Raw genomic sequence first — 17,457 nt, forward strand, 5'->3', positions numbered from 1 at the left:
TGGCCTCAAGTATCTGCCTGCCTCTGCCTCCCAAAGTGTTGGGGTTACAGGTGTGAGCCATTGTGCCCGAACCTGTTACTGATTTTAGAAAAACATTTGGAACTGGGCACGGTGGCTCATGCCTGTAATCCCAGTGCTTTGGGAGGCCAATGTGGGAGGATCACTTGTGCCTAGCCTAGGTTACAGAGCAAACCCTGTTTTGTTACTAATTTTTATGAGATGGGGTCTGGTTCTGTCCCCCAGGCTAGAGTGCAGTGGGGCCATCACAGCTTACTGCAGCCTCTACCTCCTTAGCTCAAGTAATACTCTTACCTCGGCCTCCAGAGTAGCTACAGGCACGTGCCACTATGCCTAGCTAATTTTTAAATTTTTTTGTAGAGATGGTCTCCAGCTTTGGCCTCCCAAAGTAATGGGATTATGAGCATGAGCCACCATGCCCTTCCTGTTTTCTGATTTCTATTCCGAGATAGAGATATATATAGATATCTATAGATAGAGATATATATCTCTGTATAGATCTATAGAGAGATATATATCTCTATATATCTATATATATATATCTTTTTTTGAGATGGACTCTCGCTCTGTTGCCCAGGCTGGAGTGCAGTGGCGTGATCTCGGCTCACTGCAAGCTGTGCCTCCCGGGTTCACGCCATTCTCCTGCCTCAGCCTCCCGAGTAGCTGGGACTACAGGCACCCCCCACCATGCCCGGCTAATTTTTTTGTATTTTTATTATTTATTTATTTATTTATTTAATTTATTTTTGAGGTGGAGTCTCGCTGTTGCCCAGGCTGGAGTGCAGTGGCGCGATCTTGGCTCACTGCAGGCTCCGCTCCCCAGGTTCACGCCATTCTCCTGCGTCAGCCTCCTGAGTAGCTGGGACTACAGGCGCCCGCCACCTCACCCGGCTAATTTTTTGTATTTTTAGTAGAGACGGGGTTTCACCACGTTAGCTGTGTTAGCCAGGATGGTCTCGATCTCCTGGCCTTTCTTTTTTAAAAAATAGAGACAGTAGCCGAGTGTTGTGGTGGCACATACTTGTAGTCCCAGCTACTTGGGAGGCTGAGGTGGGAGGAACCCTTGAACCCAGGAGGCTGAGTGAACCAATGTCGTGTCACGGCACTCCAGCCTAGGTGACGGAGTGAGACCCTGTCTCAAAAAAAAAAAGTTAAATAGAGATGGTATCTCACTGTTACCCAGGCTAGTCTCGAACTCTTGGCCTCCCAAAGTGCCACAATTACAGGCATGAGTCACCATGCCTGGCCTTGTTTTCTAGCTTTTTAATGTGGAAGATCAGATCATTGATCTTGAGAACTTTCTATTTTCTCTAAGCATTTTAAGCCATAGGCTCCCCTTTAGGCACTGCTAGCTGCATCCCACACATTTTGATATGTTTTCATTTTCTTTTTTTTTTTTTTTAAGATAAAGCCTTGCTCTGTCACCCAGCCTGAGTGCAGTGGTACAATCATGGTTCACTGTAGCATCAACCTCCCGGGCTCGTGATCTTCCTACCTCAGCCTCCCAAGTAGCTGGGACTACAGGTGTGTGCCGCCAAGCCTGGCTAATTTTTTGTATTTTTTGTAGAGATGGGGTTTTGCCATGTTGCCCACGCTGGTCTCAAACTCCTGGGCTCAAGTGATCTATCCACCTCGGCCTCCCAAAGTGCTAGGATTACAGGTGTGAGCCACTGGGCCTTGCCTTAATTAATTTATTTTTTTATTTTTTTTTGAGATGGAGTCTCACTCTATCACCCAGGCTGGAGTGCAATAGTGTGGTCTTGGCTTACTGCAACCCCCACCTCCTGGGTTCAAGCAATTCTCCTGCCTCAGCCTCCTGAGTAGCTGGGACTACAGGTGCATGCCACTACACCCGGCTTATTTTGTAGTTTTTTAGTAGAGATGGGGTTTCACTGTGTTGGCCAGGCTGGTCTTGAACTCCTGACCTCATGATCTGCCTGCCTCGGCCTCCCAAAGTGCTGGGATTACAGGCATGAGCCACCACGCCTGCCCTCCTTAATTTACTTTTATGTTTAAAGTAAATGTCTTATAGAGAGCATATAATTGGTAGCTGGGTCTTGCTTTTTTTTTTTTTTTCCAGTCTCACAATCTCAGTCTTTAATTGGAGCATTAATCCATTTACATTTAATGTACAATCCCATATGGCTGGATTTAAATCTGCCATCGTGTTACTTGTTTTCTATTTGTTTTTTGTTTCCACTTCCATCTTTCCCTGACTCATTTAATTTTTGTAGTATTTTTTAGTATTCCATTTTATCTCCATACTTACTGCCTATACCTCTTTGTTGTATTTTTATTATCTTATTAAATTTATTATTATTATTATGGAGATGGGATCTCACTCTGTTGCCTAGGCTAGAGTGCAGTAACATGATTATAGCTCACTGTAGTCTTGACCTCCTGGCCTCAAGCAAGCCTCCCACCTCATCCTTCAAAGTGTTGGGATTACAGGCATGTTATTTTTACTTTAAACAGTAAATTATCTTTCTTTTTTTTTTTTTTGAGACGGAGTTTCACTCTTGTCGCCCAGGCTGTAGTGCAGTGGTGCGATCTCAGCTCACCGCAACCTCCGCCTCCAGGTTCAAGCGATTCTCCTGCCTCAGCCTCCCTAGTAGCTAGGATTACAGGCATGTGCTACCACACCTGGCTAATTTTGTATTTTTAGTAGAGACGGGGTTTCTCCATGTTGGTCAGGCTGGTCTCGAACTCCCAACCTCAGGTGATCCGCCCACCTTGGCCTCCCAAAGTGCTGGGATTACAGGCATGAGCCACCGTGCCTGGCCGTAACAGTAAATTATCTTTTAAAGACATCATCTAAATAGGAAAAATAGCCTTTTATATGCACTCACATACTTACATTTCCAGTGCTTTTGATTATTTTGTATAGATCCAAGTTTCGATGTGATATTATTTTCCTTTTTCCTAATGAACAACTTGTAATGTTTGTTGTAGTGCACATCTACTGATGAAGTCTCTCTGCTTTTATTTAGAACCTGTTTATTTTGCCTTCATTTAAAAAACTTTTTATTTTGAAAAATTATAGACTTATAAGAAGTTTCAAGACTCACCTCAGTTGTTTCTCTTTCCTCGGGGATCACAATTTTCAGTAGTCTGAAAGCACTTGTTTCATAATTTTGCCTAGTTTCTAGTAGCTTACAGTGAGAGGTTAAGTCCCCCATTCATCTTAGCTACAAGTGGAAATATCTGCTTTGATTTTTATTGAAGATCATAAACAGCAATGGTTATATAAATTCTGATTCTGAATTTCCCAGTACTGTTGAGGACATTCATATATCATTCAGTATCCCCTGTATCACTTCATAAGTGAATTACATAATAACTCCTGTTTCTTCTACTTTTTCCCTTGCCTGCAAGGAAAATCAGTCAAGATTTCTACTAGATCATCGCAGTTTTGTTGACCTAGAGGTGACACATTTGCATTCTTGCCTTCTACTTATTTTTTCTTTTCATTTATATTTTATTAATCTATTTATAAAAGCAGTAGCCCATGTCCCCTGTAGCACATTTTTTCTTTCCTTCTCTCTTCATTCCCTCCCTGGTATTAAGTACTTTACATTGCATGGAATAGAGATATTATGATAGCCTTTAAGTAACTGAGTTTAAGGATTTACAGGAAAAGATGATTAGATGAGACTTTTCACCAGGTCTCGTAGTGAAAAGAATTAACCGTAGAGCCGAACTACACGCTCCGTCAGAAATGTGTGCCTCTAACTAGGTGCTGCAGCTCACACCTGTAATCCCAGCACTTTGGGAGGCCAAGGTGGGTGGATCATGAAGTCAGGAGTTCGAGACCAGCCTCGCCAAGATGGTGAAACCCCATCTCTACTAAAAATACAAAAATTAGCCGAGTATGGTGGCGGGCACCTGTAATCCCAGCTACTCGGGAGGCTGAGGCAGGAGAATTGCTTGAAACCGGAAGGCAGAGTTTGCAGTGAGCCAATATCGAGTCACTGCACTCCAGCCTGGGCAAAAGAGCGAAACTCCGTCTCAAAAAAAAATAAAGAAAAAAGAAATGAGTGCCTCTGTTCCCTATTGGGATTTTCCCTAATCTAATCTGCTTCTGTGACCAGTACTTTTGCTGCTATTTAGCTATCTCAAGTAACTGTTTTTCCTAGAGCCCTGCATGTGTACTGTTCTCTCTTGTTCTCATTACTAAAGCTCACATTGACATTTCAAAGAAGAGTATCTGATTGGTTTACTTAATGACCTGCTGGTACCAGGCAGCCTTCTAGGTCATTATGTCATTAGCCAGCTGAGAGAGTCTCTGTTCTTTGGTCATGTGCCACACTTGATTGAGTTAGGGTCATGTGGGTGGTAAAAAGTATTATGTCCTATAAAACCTGTCAGAATTGGCATAGCAGGTACTCAGCATTATCCGTCCTCCTCCATTATGATATAAAAATTGATTCACTTTAAACTTACTAAGAACAGTTATTAAACTGGATGTTTCCCCAAAACCAGTCACCTTCATATTTATAGATTAAGATTTAGATGAATTGTTGACGTCATTCCTGAAATATTGGGGGTTTTTCCCTCCTTTATTTCATTCTTAGTCACAAAACAAAGGACAGTCTTTACCACCTTTTTGCCACAACTTAAAATAAACCCATGGTACTGATTGTTGGTCCAAGAAAGCCCATCTGTTAGAGACTATGAAGAGAAGAGAAAATTCAAATGTTCCCATTCTTGTTAGCATCTCTAAATTTGGAGGAAGATGAGGTTCAAACTATAAGCTAAAATGAGGTTTTTGGATTATTAGCCCCACCTGGGTTTGAATCCTGGCTTTCCTGATTTACTAGATGATAGATGAGTATCTTTTCTTTCTTTTTTTTTCTTTTTTTTTTGGAGACAGTGTCTTGCTCTGTCACTCAGGTTGGAGTGCAGTGGTATGATCATGGCTCACTGCAGCCTCCACCTCATGGGCTCAGGTGATCCTCCCACCTCAGCCCCCTGGAGTCGATGGGACTACAGGTGTGTACTACCACACCCGGGTACTTTTTGTAGAGACGGGGTTTCACCATGTTGCCCAGGCTGGTCTTGAACTCCTGGGCTCAAGCCATCCGCCTGCCTCGGCCTCCCAAAGTGCTGGGAAAGTATTTTTTTCTAAGCTTCAGTTTACTTGTGAATAAAATGGAGGTTATAGAGTTTGCCATCTGTGATTGTTAGAATTAAATTGTAGGATACATGCAAAGCAGTTAGCAAAGTACGTAGCACGTAAGAAGTGCTTGATAAATGTTAGCTCCCATTATCTCTAGATCATTAAGTCTTATTCATAATAAGAGTTAGGCTAGTCTAACAATAAGTTAGTTATTAGTGCTAAGGAAAATTAAAATTTTTTGGTACATGAGCTGAGATCTAATTATTGAGCCATTGTTTACAAGAGACATATGGCTATATGATTTTTACTTTCTAATCTCAACTATGAAATGTTGCTCCCAGAAAATTTTTTAAGGAAAGTCAATCCTATGATAGTTTTATATTGTTGGAATTCTGGCTTTGTCATTAGACATGTGACTTTGGGCAAATTAGTTAACTTTTCTGTGCCTCGGTTTCTTTACAGTTTTATATACTTTTGTCTGTAAAGCGGGGAAAATACCTTATAGGATTGTTGTAAAGAATAAATGAGTTGATATATATAAACTAGCACATAGGACAGTGCCTTTATTTATTTATTTAAACAGGCTTGATATATAATGTTATATAAATTGCTGCTGCTGGATTTGATTCCTAGAAGTTAAATATTTGAATATTAGGCCCCTTTGGCTAACTGGCTATTCTTCTCATCATTTAATGTGAATAGATATGTTTTTAGATTTATTATCTTTAGTTTCCATTGCCAGATTAATTTTCTAAAATGCAGGTGATAAGAAATGAGTGAGCTGAAGGACATGTTCTATAGATAATCTTGTGGTTCCATTTTGATGGACACAGAATTTCCATATATTGCTAGCCCTCCTTTGTGAAGCTTTGGTAGGAAAAATGTATCTTGAAATTTTTATAAAGCTGATTCTCCCCTCCCCTGCCTCCCACTGAAATGTCCTTTTTGGGTGACCACAGGGAGTGGAGTGCTAGCGAGGTGAAAGTGGGGTATTGGAAAGGCAATTTGAATTGAGACCTTTGATTTTAGCTTTACAAATCCAGCAGGTAAGGAATTTTCTAATCAAGAGTTACTTCCCTTCATGAGGAAACTCATTTCTGATTTATTTTTCCTTCTCAAGGAGTGACAGTAATGCCTTTTCTTTCCATGAATGAGATTGAACATTGTTTTTATCATGTTTATTGATCACTTGTAATAATTTTGCAAGTTGTCTATTCATGCCCTTGACCTTTTTTAAAAAATAAAGAGACTGTAGATAAAGGACATTAAACTTTTGCCAAGTATGTTTCAAATATATTTTTCATTTTGTCAATTATGTTTCATTTGGTCGTGCTTTTTTAACAGTAGAGAAACTTTTAATGAAATCTATAAATTTTTCCTAAAAAGTGTTATGGTTAGAAAAATATTTGAGTGCCATAAAATGTCATAGTTTATGTGTGGATGGATCCATTTAATAAACGTTTTTCCTTAAAATTTCACAGGATTTGCAGAGTCTTTGCAAGCTAACATAGACCTGAGGTGCTAACATCATAATAGCTACCACTCACTGCACACACGCTGTGTGCCATAGCAATGTGCTAGGTCTTTTACGTTCAATATTCCTAAAACTCAGCTTCAAGCTAAATTGTATTATCTGCTTTTCATAGATGAGTAGTGAGCCCTGAAGAAGTGAAATAATTTGCCCAGGGTCACAGAGCTAATTGATGGATTGGAATTTTAACTCAACTCTGCCTAACTCCAAAGTATACAGTATACTTTCTCTACAAAGCTCTACTTTTTGAGGCTTCAAATAAATTACATTTATCCTAAAAGTGACATTACTTTTACTAGAACTTGAAAATATGAGTCTGTAGCCTACTGAGACTGCTTTTGATTCCCGAAAGCACAGTAGATAAGGTAATGAAAAACATGTAAACGAGCTGAAAAGTCTCCACTGTCTAGGGCTTTGATTTTCAAAGTGTGCTTCTCAGCTGGGCATAGTAACTCACGCCTGTAATCCCAGCACTTTGAGAGAGCAAGGTGGGTGGATCACTTGAGGTCAGGAGTTCAAGAACAGCCTGGCCAACATGGTGAAACCCTGTCTCTACTAAAAATACAAAAATTAGCCAGGCATGGTGGCAGGCGCCTGTAATCCCAGCTACTTAGGAGGCTGAGGCAGGAGAATCACTTGAACCCGGGAGGAGGAGGTTGCGGTGAGCCGAGATCACACCACTGCACTCCAGCCTGGGTGACAGAGTGAGACTCCATCTCCCACCCCACTACCCACAAAAAAAAGAAAAAAAAAGTGTTTCTTAGACCACCAGCATTAGCATCACTTGGGAATTTGCTTGAAATGCAAATTCTCAGGCCCTACCCAGATCTGTAGTTTTCTGATTATGTATAATCAGAAAGTCTGGAGGCTAGGCCCAGCAATCTGTTTTACAATACCTCCAGTTGATTATAATGTATGTTAAAATTTGCGAACCACTGGTCTAGGGAAATTATTTCCTAACTAGTGTTTTATTTCTGCTTCTATTGAGTTTTAGCCTAAGTCTCAATCGTTGAGTGCAAAATTAGCATTATTGCATAGTGGCAAGGACATGGAGTCACACAGGAGCTAGTTGAATCCTGGGTCATCAAGAATTTCAGGGCCATGCATGGTGGCTCACACCTGTAATCCTAGCACTTTGGGAGGATCATTTGAGGTCAGGAATTGGAGTCCAGCCTCGCCAACATGATGAAACCCCATCTCTACTAAAAATATAAAAATTAGCCTGGCATGGTGATAGGCGCCTGTAGTCCCAGCTACCCAGGAGGCTGAGGCAGGGGAATCACTTGAACCCAAGAGGCAGAGGTTGCAGTGAACCGAAATCATGCCATTGCACTCTAGCCTGGACGACAGAGCAAGACTCTGTCTCAAAAAAAAAAAAAGTATTTCAGGCAAGTTCACCTCCCATAGTTTCCCATCTTTGAAATGATATTAATAACATCTATCTCCATGTAAGATTTTTTTTAGAATTAAGTAAGATAATATGTAAAGTGTCTAGTACATTGCTAGGATCCCAGGTGTTTGAGAAATTGCATCTAGCAATTTTTCTTGTTAGCAAAGAGCGCCCACCTCCATCTGTTCTAAACTCCTCTTGTTTCTTGAATGTATTTGCTGTCTTTTGTCTCTGGGGCTTTGTATTAACTGTTATCTTTTGGCATCCAACCTCCTACCCCTCTTTACCTCACTAATTTTATACATCCTTTAGATCCCTGCTATAGTTACTCCCCCTGGAGGGGGCTTTCCCTAACCCCCACCCCCCCAGTCTCTATAGCAGTCTGTATTTCTATCACTGCATTTATCACACCACTTTGGAATCATCTGTCTCCTGTATAAACTTCATTGAGGTAGTGTCTTGTTCACTGCCATATTCCTAGGGACAAGTAAAGTTCCCTGTATATTGTAGGAGCTAAGTGTTGAATGAATGAATGGTGGCTGCTATTATTGCTTCACCTTCACCCTCCAAGAGTAATCTCCCCATTCTGGTTTATAGTTTCTGTGCTCACTGCTTGTGATAATTGTAAGTATATATTGTTGAGAACAGTGCCTGTTTTCTCTTTCCCTGAAAACACATACTTTGACGTTGGCTGACGTAGTTCACTCAGCTGTTCCTAACCACTGATCCCTCTGTATCACAGGTATCTCGGGGGAGCTTTGTGCCTTGATGGATCAAGTTCATCATATGCAGCACTCAAAATGGCAGCATCCTTCGGACCTCACCACGCGGTGAGTGGGTGATTAGAAGAAGATGGAAAAGGGTAGAATGGCTGGGCGCGGTGGCTCACACCTGTAATCCCAGCACTTTGGGTGGCCAAGGTGGGTGGGTCGTTTGAGACCATCCTGGCTAACATGGTGAAACCCCATATCTACCAAAAATACAAAAATTAGCTGGGTGTGGTGGCAAGCATCTGTAGTCCCAGCCTCAGGAGGCTGAGGCAGGACAGTTGCTTGAATCTGGTGGCGAAGGTTGCAGTGAGCCAAGATGGTGCCACTGTACTCAAGCCTGGGCGGCAGAGCAAGACTCCGTCTAAAAAAAAAAAAAGAAAAGGCGGTGGGGGGGGGGCGCGTGAAATTTGGCTGCAGGAGGAATGTAGTGGGGAGTAGGGGTTGGAATTGTTTAATTCAAGAGGCAGGGGGAAAAAGTGATGCAGTATAATGGAATAAGAACTGGACTGAGGCTGAGCACAGTAGCTCACGCCTGTAATTCCAGCACTTTGGGAGGCCAAGGCAGGAGGATTGCTTGAGCCCAGGAGTTCGAGACCAGCCTGGCCAATGTGAGACCCCGTCGCTACAAAAAATACAAAAACTTAACTGGGCATGGTGGTGTGTGTCTGTAGTCCCTGAGAGTGCCTGAGAGAAAAGGATTGCTTGAAGCCCAGGAGCTTGAGGCTGTGATGAGCAATGATTGTGCCACTGCACTCCAGCCTGGGCAACAGGGCGAGACCCTGTCTCAAAAAACAAACAGACAAAACAAAAACTGGACTGAAATTCAGGAAACCTGAGTTCTAATACTAGCTTTGCAACTTGGTGTCAAAGGACCTTCCTAATTCTGAAATCTTCTGGAATTTTTTTTTTTTAAGACTCAAATTTAGTATTACAGTTTTCTGGATTCTTGATGCAGTGTGGCTGTACAAATTTATTCAGTTACTTTGATTCAGATACTCAAAAACCTTGGAATCATCTTTTACTTTTTTCTCTCTCACCCCATATTCAGTCTATCAGCAAATCCCATAGGTTCTGCATATACAGTTGTCCTTGGTATTCATGAGGGATTAGTTCCAGGACCCTCTCTGGATACCAAAATCCACAGATGCTCACGTTCCTTATATAAAATGCCATAGTGTTTGCATAACCTGTGCACATCCTTCCATATACTTTAAATCATCTCTAGATTACTTATGATAACTAATACAGTATAAATGCTATGCAAATAGTTGTTATACTGTATTGTTTAGGAAATAATGACAAGGAAAAATGTCTATACATGTTCGATACAGATGGAACCATTCATTTTTCTTCTTTGAATATTTTTGACCCATGGTTGGTTAAATCCATGGATGTAGAACCCATGGATATGGAGGGTCAGCTGTATATCCAAAGCCTAACTATTTCTCATCATTTGACCTGGATTGTTGCAAGTCTCCTAAATGGCCTCCCTGCTTCTGCCCTTGCCAGTGCACTGTTCACAACTCAGCAGCCAAAGAAAGAGATTCTTTTAAAGCATAAATCACATTTGCTCAATATTTCCCAGTGGCTTCCCATCTCACATCTTCCCATTCTCGTAATCCCCTACAAAGGCCTATATGCTTTGGCCTATGCTCACCGACCTCATCTCCTAATACTCTTCCTCTTGCTTCAGGGCCTTTACAGTCATATTCCCTCTGTAGTTGTCAAAATCATAGCATTTCTCAGAAGGAAAGGCAGTGTAGTGTAATTGTTAATAGATAAATTCTGGAGTCAGATGTGAATTCAAATCCAGTTCTGCTTACTCTACTCTATGACCTTGGGTAAATTATTAACCTGAGGCTCAATCAATTTCCTTACCTATACAAGGACTTAATGAAAATACTAGTAGGATTGTCACAGTATTAAGTGAGGAGAGGTATTTAAAGAATTCAGCAAGTACTTGCATATAGGGATAGATAAATGTCAGGTACTGTTACAGTTATTTTCAACCCTGGCGACTACTCATAATTACCTGTGGAGATATCTAAAAATACAGATGTTTGTATCCTGATTCCAGGTATTCTAAGTCATTAAGTCTGGGAGGAGGGAGAGGCCAAGAATCCATATCTGTATTTGTTTTTTCTTTTTCTTTTTTTAAATTTTAGAATGCGTATCTTCAGAAAGCTTCCTAGATTATTAGGAGCACTTTCAGAGTCAAAAATGGGATCAGATTATCTCAGAGCGTCTTGCTCAGAACTGCAGCCCAGCACATAACTAAATGAGACTTTTAAGAAATTTTACTGTGAGTCTGTGCTGTTAATTTTTCAGTCTCTAAACTCACATGATGACTTACCTTTCTGGGAATTTATTCTAATTTTAACTGCTGTGTCCTGAGCAACCTTGAGCTGTGTCAGACAATGAGGTCCTTTTGGAGGTACAGGTGTGATGCAAACAATAAAATATAGATCCTATCCTAAATTCTTCTGGAGGAATAAAATGGTTTTTTTTTTCTCCCCTACTTAAACATTATTCTACATTAGTTTTCCTTAGAATATTGTGTATATGGCACATATCACCATAATACCTATGGGAATTAGGTGGCTTTGGGAGTTGGAAAGAAATAGCACTTACGGTGTGGTGTTCATATAAATGAAATAGTATAAAATTTCTAAAATTGTGAGAATTGAAATATAAAATTAATATCTGATTTCCAAAAGTAAAGATCTTCTTAAAATTGTTGTGCTGGCCTTTTTTTGTGTACAAATAGCCATTCTAGTTGAAATAGCCTTCCTGTTTGTACTCTCCCTCTCTCGATAGAAACTACGCCCGCCGACAGAAACATCTGCAAAGATACAGTCTGACTCAGTGGGTTGACAGGAACATGCGAAGCCACCATCGGTTCCAGCGTCTCCCAGACTTCTCGTACAGTTAATTTGTGTCATCCCATCAGCAATGAAGGTCCCTATCCAGGGTCCTGCTTGGAGCAGCATTTCATGTTCTTTTGCTGTTTTGTGCTTTGCCGATTTTGGATTTTATTTTTCACAAAATTTTTATTTAAAAAACTCGTCACCTTTTGGAAATGCCCATTGCCGACTTGAATTTTTTTGTATGAAGTCCCTCCTGATTTTGTGTGTGTGTGTCTGTGTTTAAGCAAGCGTTCGGTTGGTATAGTTTTTTTTTGTTTTTTTAATTTAAATTGAAGGTAGCTGCCTCCTGAAAGCCAGCATTAAGCCAGAACACCCAGGTTCAAGCAAAAGACCCACCTCTCTGCAGAGGCAAAGTCTACTTTCTGGTACCTCAAAGAAATCATTGTTCAATCTTCCATAAGGAAGAGATTCTTTACCAGGCTGTGAGCCAGTGTTAGATAACTTGTGAATGGATATAAGTTACTTTTAACAACCCCTCTTACTTTTTTATTTGAATCCTCTGAATACCTGTCAGTATTTTAAAGTTGGCAATCCAGGACATTATAAGTAGGATGGAGCAGGAGAAGAATCCTATTGAAAGGACAAATTAAAATAGTAAATCCTCTCCTCTCCCTTCTGTAGGTACTAGCTGCCTTGATTTTTTTTTGTGGGTGGGGGGGATTTTTTCATTCCTTATTGAACTTATTTTGCACAATAGTGTTTACAAATCTTATACATCTTACTTTGACAGAAGACTTATAATACCTTGTGGTCTTGAGACTGGTTGTCTCCTTTGCCTTTCTTCAAGGATTTTCCTTTTTCTTTTTACCCCCCAGTGACCACTCTGCTCTTTAGGATTCTAGTGGCAGTATTCTTGTAACCTGTTAGACGTGGATATACCTCTTCAGGATGGCCTCCTTGCTGTCTTTATTGAAGAGCTGCCCACCCAGAGTCTTGACTCTAGGGCAGGCTAGTGCTATTGTGGTGTCAGTTGATATTTAGTTTCATTTGCTGAACCCCAAATTTGAGTGTTAGTTAGGGAGCCTCCATTCTGTGGGAGAGTGTGGAAAGGCACTCTTTTTTCTCCATATTAGTTAACAAGAGGTGTCTTTAGGCCCTGGATGTTACCATCTCATTTGGTCAAGCCCCTGATACCTAGTTTCACATGGATGCTAACGTGGATGTAATATAGTTGTGACAGCCTATGCACAAAAGCATTACCTGATCTTAAGGTTTGGTATTCTAACCAAAGTTGACAGACTGTGCGTCTGTCTTAATGGATGTCTTAGGAGTTGGTTATTCTCTCTTTTTTTTTTGAGACGGAGTTTCGCTGTTGTTGCCCAGGCTGGAGTGCAATGGCGTATCTCCACTCACCACAACCTCCGCCTCCTGGGTTCAAGGGATTCTCCTGTCTTAGCCTCCTGAGTAGCTGTGATTACAGGCATGCGCCACCATGCCTGGCTAATTTCATATTTTTTAGTAGAGACAGGATTTCTCCATGTTGGTCAGGCTGGTCTTGAACTCCTGACCTCAGGTGATCTGCCCACCTCGGCCTCCTAAAGTGCTGGGATTACAGGCATGAGCCACTGCACCTGGCCGGTTATTCTCTCTTTACAGATAGCTATAGACATCATTTTAGGAAGTGTTGCAGTCTGGCATTTGTGCTATTGTTCATTCTCTGTGAAGGCTGTTCATAGTTGCTATAGCCTGTGTTTAGTTTTGTGATTTCATCAATCCCATCTTTCTGTGTGAGTAATGCATTCTAAACATCCTACCCCACTTTAGAAACGGACGTGGGGAACGCTTGGTCATTTAAGCCAACAATAAATTTAGGTGAATGTCCCTAAGTGTTTACTGTTTTTATCCAGTCAAGGATTTGCTTTTCCTTGAACATTTGTTTTAAATTCTGGGGCCAAAATGCAAAGGAGAAGTTCTATTCAAAGGCAGTAGTTGAAATCTATTATTTTAGTTAGCCTACTTGGCATTTACTACATCGGTCACTTCTCCAGGCTGCCCTAAATTAGGTTGATGGAGTGAGACATGCCAAACATCCACCTTTGGGACCATAGCATAGTTAAAATTAAATGTAGTTGGAATAGCTAGCATTGCAGCTACAGTAGGGAACTGTAGTCTAGTTCCCTACAGAAAACCCAAGGAGTGAAGGGACAGGATTTTGCCTAGGCAAAAATCTAAGACTCGTGCCCTCCTGGTACATGGGGTTTTAAGACTGAATGTGTAATAGGAGCACTGCCTTTGCCAAATCAAATGAGTGACAGGTTAACTAGAAAATGTGACAATCACATTTCCTCTTAGCTCAAATAATTCTGTTTTTCCAAAGCTTTAGCAGCTTAATTAAATCTGTTGGACTGGGGGAGGAGAGAGCTGTTCTCTAGTGGTTAACATGGTATTCTTTAAGAAGAAAAAACAAAGCCAAAGAAAACTCATTATCTGGCATGTTCGCCTTAAAGATGGTACTGGGTAGAATCTGGAGTTTTCATCTCTTTTCAAAGCTGCATATCTCTTATATTTGGTATTGGCCTCTAAGTCTAATATTGCAGTTGGAATTCTTGCTGTATTATTTTTTAAGCAAGTGTTAGGTGCATTTAACTGCTTTCTTCATCCATGACGACATTCCCACCATGGGGGTCTTGACAAAGCAGAGTAAAAATATGCTGTTTACATTGTTTACTTACAAGTAAGGAGCCTGAAATAACCTGTAGTTTCGAATGCAGGCCCTGATTTACTGGCGTTGTCAGTTTCAATTATGAAACTGAAGTTTGGTGCCTCCTCTTTATCATGTTTTTTCCCTTGTAGCAGTTGTGTTTAATGTCATTAAAAAGAAATAAAAGTTCTTTGTCAGTGACATATGTACTGTGGCGGTCTGTCGTAGGCTTCGATGGAGGGTTATTTGCCTTCTTCCTTTGCGTAGGTAGGTTAGTGGGGTGGGGAGGGGGGCGGCAGTTAGTAGAATGTGGTACTGGAAAGGCGAGGGTGCTTGCTCCCTATTCTTTTGAAGGTAAATTACAGTGTTGAGAAAGGTGTTCTAGCAGTTAAGAAATGTTGAAATTGATTGGGATTTGCAGCTACATATGGTGCATGTCAGGAGCCTGACATAGGGAGAGCCTGAAATATCATTATGCCTCAGTTTTTGCAGAGGGGGAAGATGGCTCAGCCGTGATCAGGCAGGCATTGCCTTTTATTCCTTCCCATGGCTGTGTGATTGGCCTCCCTATCTCTGCTTCTCCAGAGCTAGCATTGATTGTGGAAGAAGCCATGCTATCCAAGAGCATTCTCTCTTTGAAGGGGATGTAAGAAACCAGAATCAGTGGTACAGAATTGATGGTTGTTCATAACCCAGTTTCTCCAGAAACTGCGGCTTCTAAAAACTGGGTGAAGGTTGGATAAGCGTGGGTAGATGTGGGAGACACAGTGTTCCTTAGATCCCTTTCGTGAACCAAAGCTTCTTAGACTTACCCCCAGAAGCAAGGAAAAAAGGGAAGGCAATAATAACTTGTCACCTATATTAGCCAGTGCTTTAAAAATCTGAGTTCATGCTGAGAAAACAAGTAGCAACATGTTTAGCCATGCTATCTGGCCTGCTGTGCTATAAGTTTTGTCTATAAATTCTAGACAAAATATAATATTGAGTCCATGCAAAAGACTCAATATAAGTTTGCTAAGTACTCAGCAACTTGACATTCTTGTCTCAATCTGAGGCACTCTCCTTAACCTATGCATATCTGTTTTGTTCCTATCAGGTGTAGATAGGATCTTTTGTCCATTTTACATTACGGAAAAGTGAAGAGGAAAAGGAGAGATGGACCTTCTCCAAGAGGAAGGGGGTCATTCTCTAATTAGCCTATTTTGAGCTTTTATAGGAAGAAAAAACCCAACCACCTAAAGCTAGAAAGTGGAGTTCCCTGCTTCTCTTAGTAATGTTCTGCTTTTCTAAGAGAAAACAATTATTCCTAAGCTGATTTTAGTGTATGCTTGCTTTGTATGCCAGAGCACCTGTCAGGGAAAAAAAAAAAAAAATTCCACTTGTCACAGGAAGTATCAGCTGGTCAGTGGTGGAATTCCTAAATGAATAGGCTCCTGCCTTGTCCTTCCTCCCCACCTGTCCTCCCCCTGTGACAACTGGGACATGCCATAGACGGAAAATCTGGCCCTTCCCAGCACCCATTGAAAGGGGGTGGAATATAATATTTTGGATAACCTTTAAAGCAGTCTAAGTGATAGTCCTGAAATATATCACTAAGGAACTATTTGTTTTGAGACAGCGTCTCACTCTCTTGCCCAGGCTGGAGTGCAATGGCGCGATCTTGGCTCACTGCAACCTCTACCTCCTGGGTTCAAGTGATTTTCATGTCTCAGCCTCCTGAGTAGCTGGGATTACAGGTGTGCGCCAACACACCTAGTTAATTTTTGTATTTTTAGTAGAGACAGGGTTTCACCATGTTGGCCAGGCTGGTCTTGAACTCCTGGCCTCAAGTGATCTGCCCCACCTTGGCCTCCCAAAGTGTTGGGGTTATAGGCGTGAGCCACTGCACCTGGTTAGGAACTATTTGTGTACAGTTTTCCTTCAACTTAACTTCAAGTCACATTTGAAGGTTTGGTAATATTTTGTATGGATGGAGCTTGATGGAGCTGGGCAAGGGAGGAGGGTGAGCAGGGTGTCCCATTTATAGAAGCAATTTGTTCTTGGAGGCTACTTAAATGCACATTCCAGTAACCATCAAATAGGTTTAAAGAGAGTCAGAAATCTAAAGCTCATGTTAATGGGTTGGTGAGATTTTGCACATTTTTGTAAAGGGTTGAACCAAAACTCTTAAAAATGCATTCTTGAGAAGGCCCATTCTGAAAAACTAGGGGACAAGAGTAGGAGGAGAAAAGGACTCTTGCCTCATAGAAACACTCACCAGTCTGTCTTCCTTCCCTCAGACCCTGAGGTTTCCCTCGTGCTCCTAGGAGGATGCACCTTGGCTCCTATTGTAGGAAGTAGGTAGAGTCTGGGAATCTTCTAAATTCTGTTTTTGGCAGATAAGGACACCACGACCTAACCTCAGAGAATTAACTTGCCTGAGGTGTTAGGTGATTACAAGGCAGGGTCTCCTGTCTCTCAGACCAGCATTTCTCCCACAGGCCTGTGGTAGTCTCCAAGTGAGGTCTCTTGGTCTCAAAGACCTGCCTGTGCCTTTCCACAGTTGTGAGAAAATGTCCATGGATCTATGTGATGGTGGTGAAAGGATCACATCCCAAGTCTAGCTGTGTAGGGTTCGACTTTGCAACTACAGTGGATTCAGGGAAGGCTCAATTGTTATACAATTGGGAGTTTAGGGAGGTAATTAAAGGGAATGGAGTTTTATCTAAGCCAAGAGTGTTACCTCCTTTTCTCTCATACCCTTTATGATGTACCACAGGCACAGATTAAGTTGAAGACTGGAAACCCCCATTAGCAGAGCTCCCTGAGCCCCACTGACTATACTATACCTAGTGCTGATTTGGGGGCTTTTCCATCATTTGGCACTAGATGGGTACAGAGGGCCTAGGAAGTACCTCTCTGAGGTTTGGCTTAGAGTCGGTGTGCAACTCAAGTTTCCTACTTTGCTGTGCAGCCTCTAAACCTTCTTTCCCTCTGCTTTCAAAACCTACAGCAGTCAACTCTAAGCCCTGCTCACCGGACATTTTCTCTCCAAGCTTCTTCCTGGCTCTGGACAGGAATG

At 41.5% G+C, this 17,457-nt stretch overlaps 1 protein-coding gene across 20 annotated transcripts in view, besides 1 other annotated feature; it reads left to right on the plus strand.

Annotated features, from left to right (window-relative positions):
- S100PBP (S100P binding protein) overlaps positions 1-14,601 on the plus strand; it is a 42,318-nt gene extending 27,717 nt beyond the window's left edge. For 14 of the 20 annotated variants that reach the window (NR_135107.1, NR_135106.1, XM_011541962.3 and 11 more), the window contains 2 exons: positions 8,801-8,888; positions 11,646-14,601. Coding sequence is in view for 15 of the 20 variants with exons in the window: in XM_011541962.3 (XP_011540264.1) it covers positions 8,801-8,888; positions 11,646-11,760 (203 nt within the window). In the remaining 5 variants the exon portion in view is untranslated. Of the gene's footprint in view, positions 1-3,393; positions 3,445-8,800; positions 8,889-11,645 lie in introns of those variants that run through there. The other 6 variants (XM_011541963.3, XM_047428038.1, XM_047428039.1 and 3 more) reach the window with 3 other exon arrangements.
- Positions 9,739-9,908: an enhancer, noted in NCBI's record as "experimental_6868 CRE fragment used in MPRA reporter constructs". NCBI's record gives its function as "activates a minimal promoter by MPRAs in K562 erythroleukemia cells, with activity observed for both the introgressed and non-introgressed 1:33319703 variant alleles {active_cell/tissue: K562}" and the evidence as "EXISTENCE:reporter gene assay evidence [ECO:0000049][PMID:34662402]".

This window comes from Homo sapiens, chromosome 1, assembly GCF_000001405.40.
Source record: "Homo sapiens chromosome 1, GRCh38.p14 Primary Assembly".
NCBI lineage: Eukaryota > Metazoa > Chordata > Mammalia > Primates > Hominidae > Homo > Homo sapiens.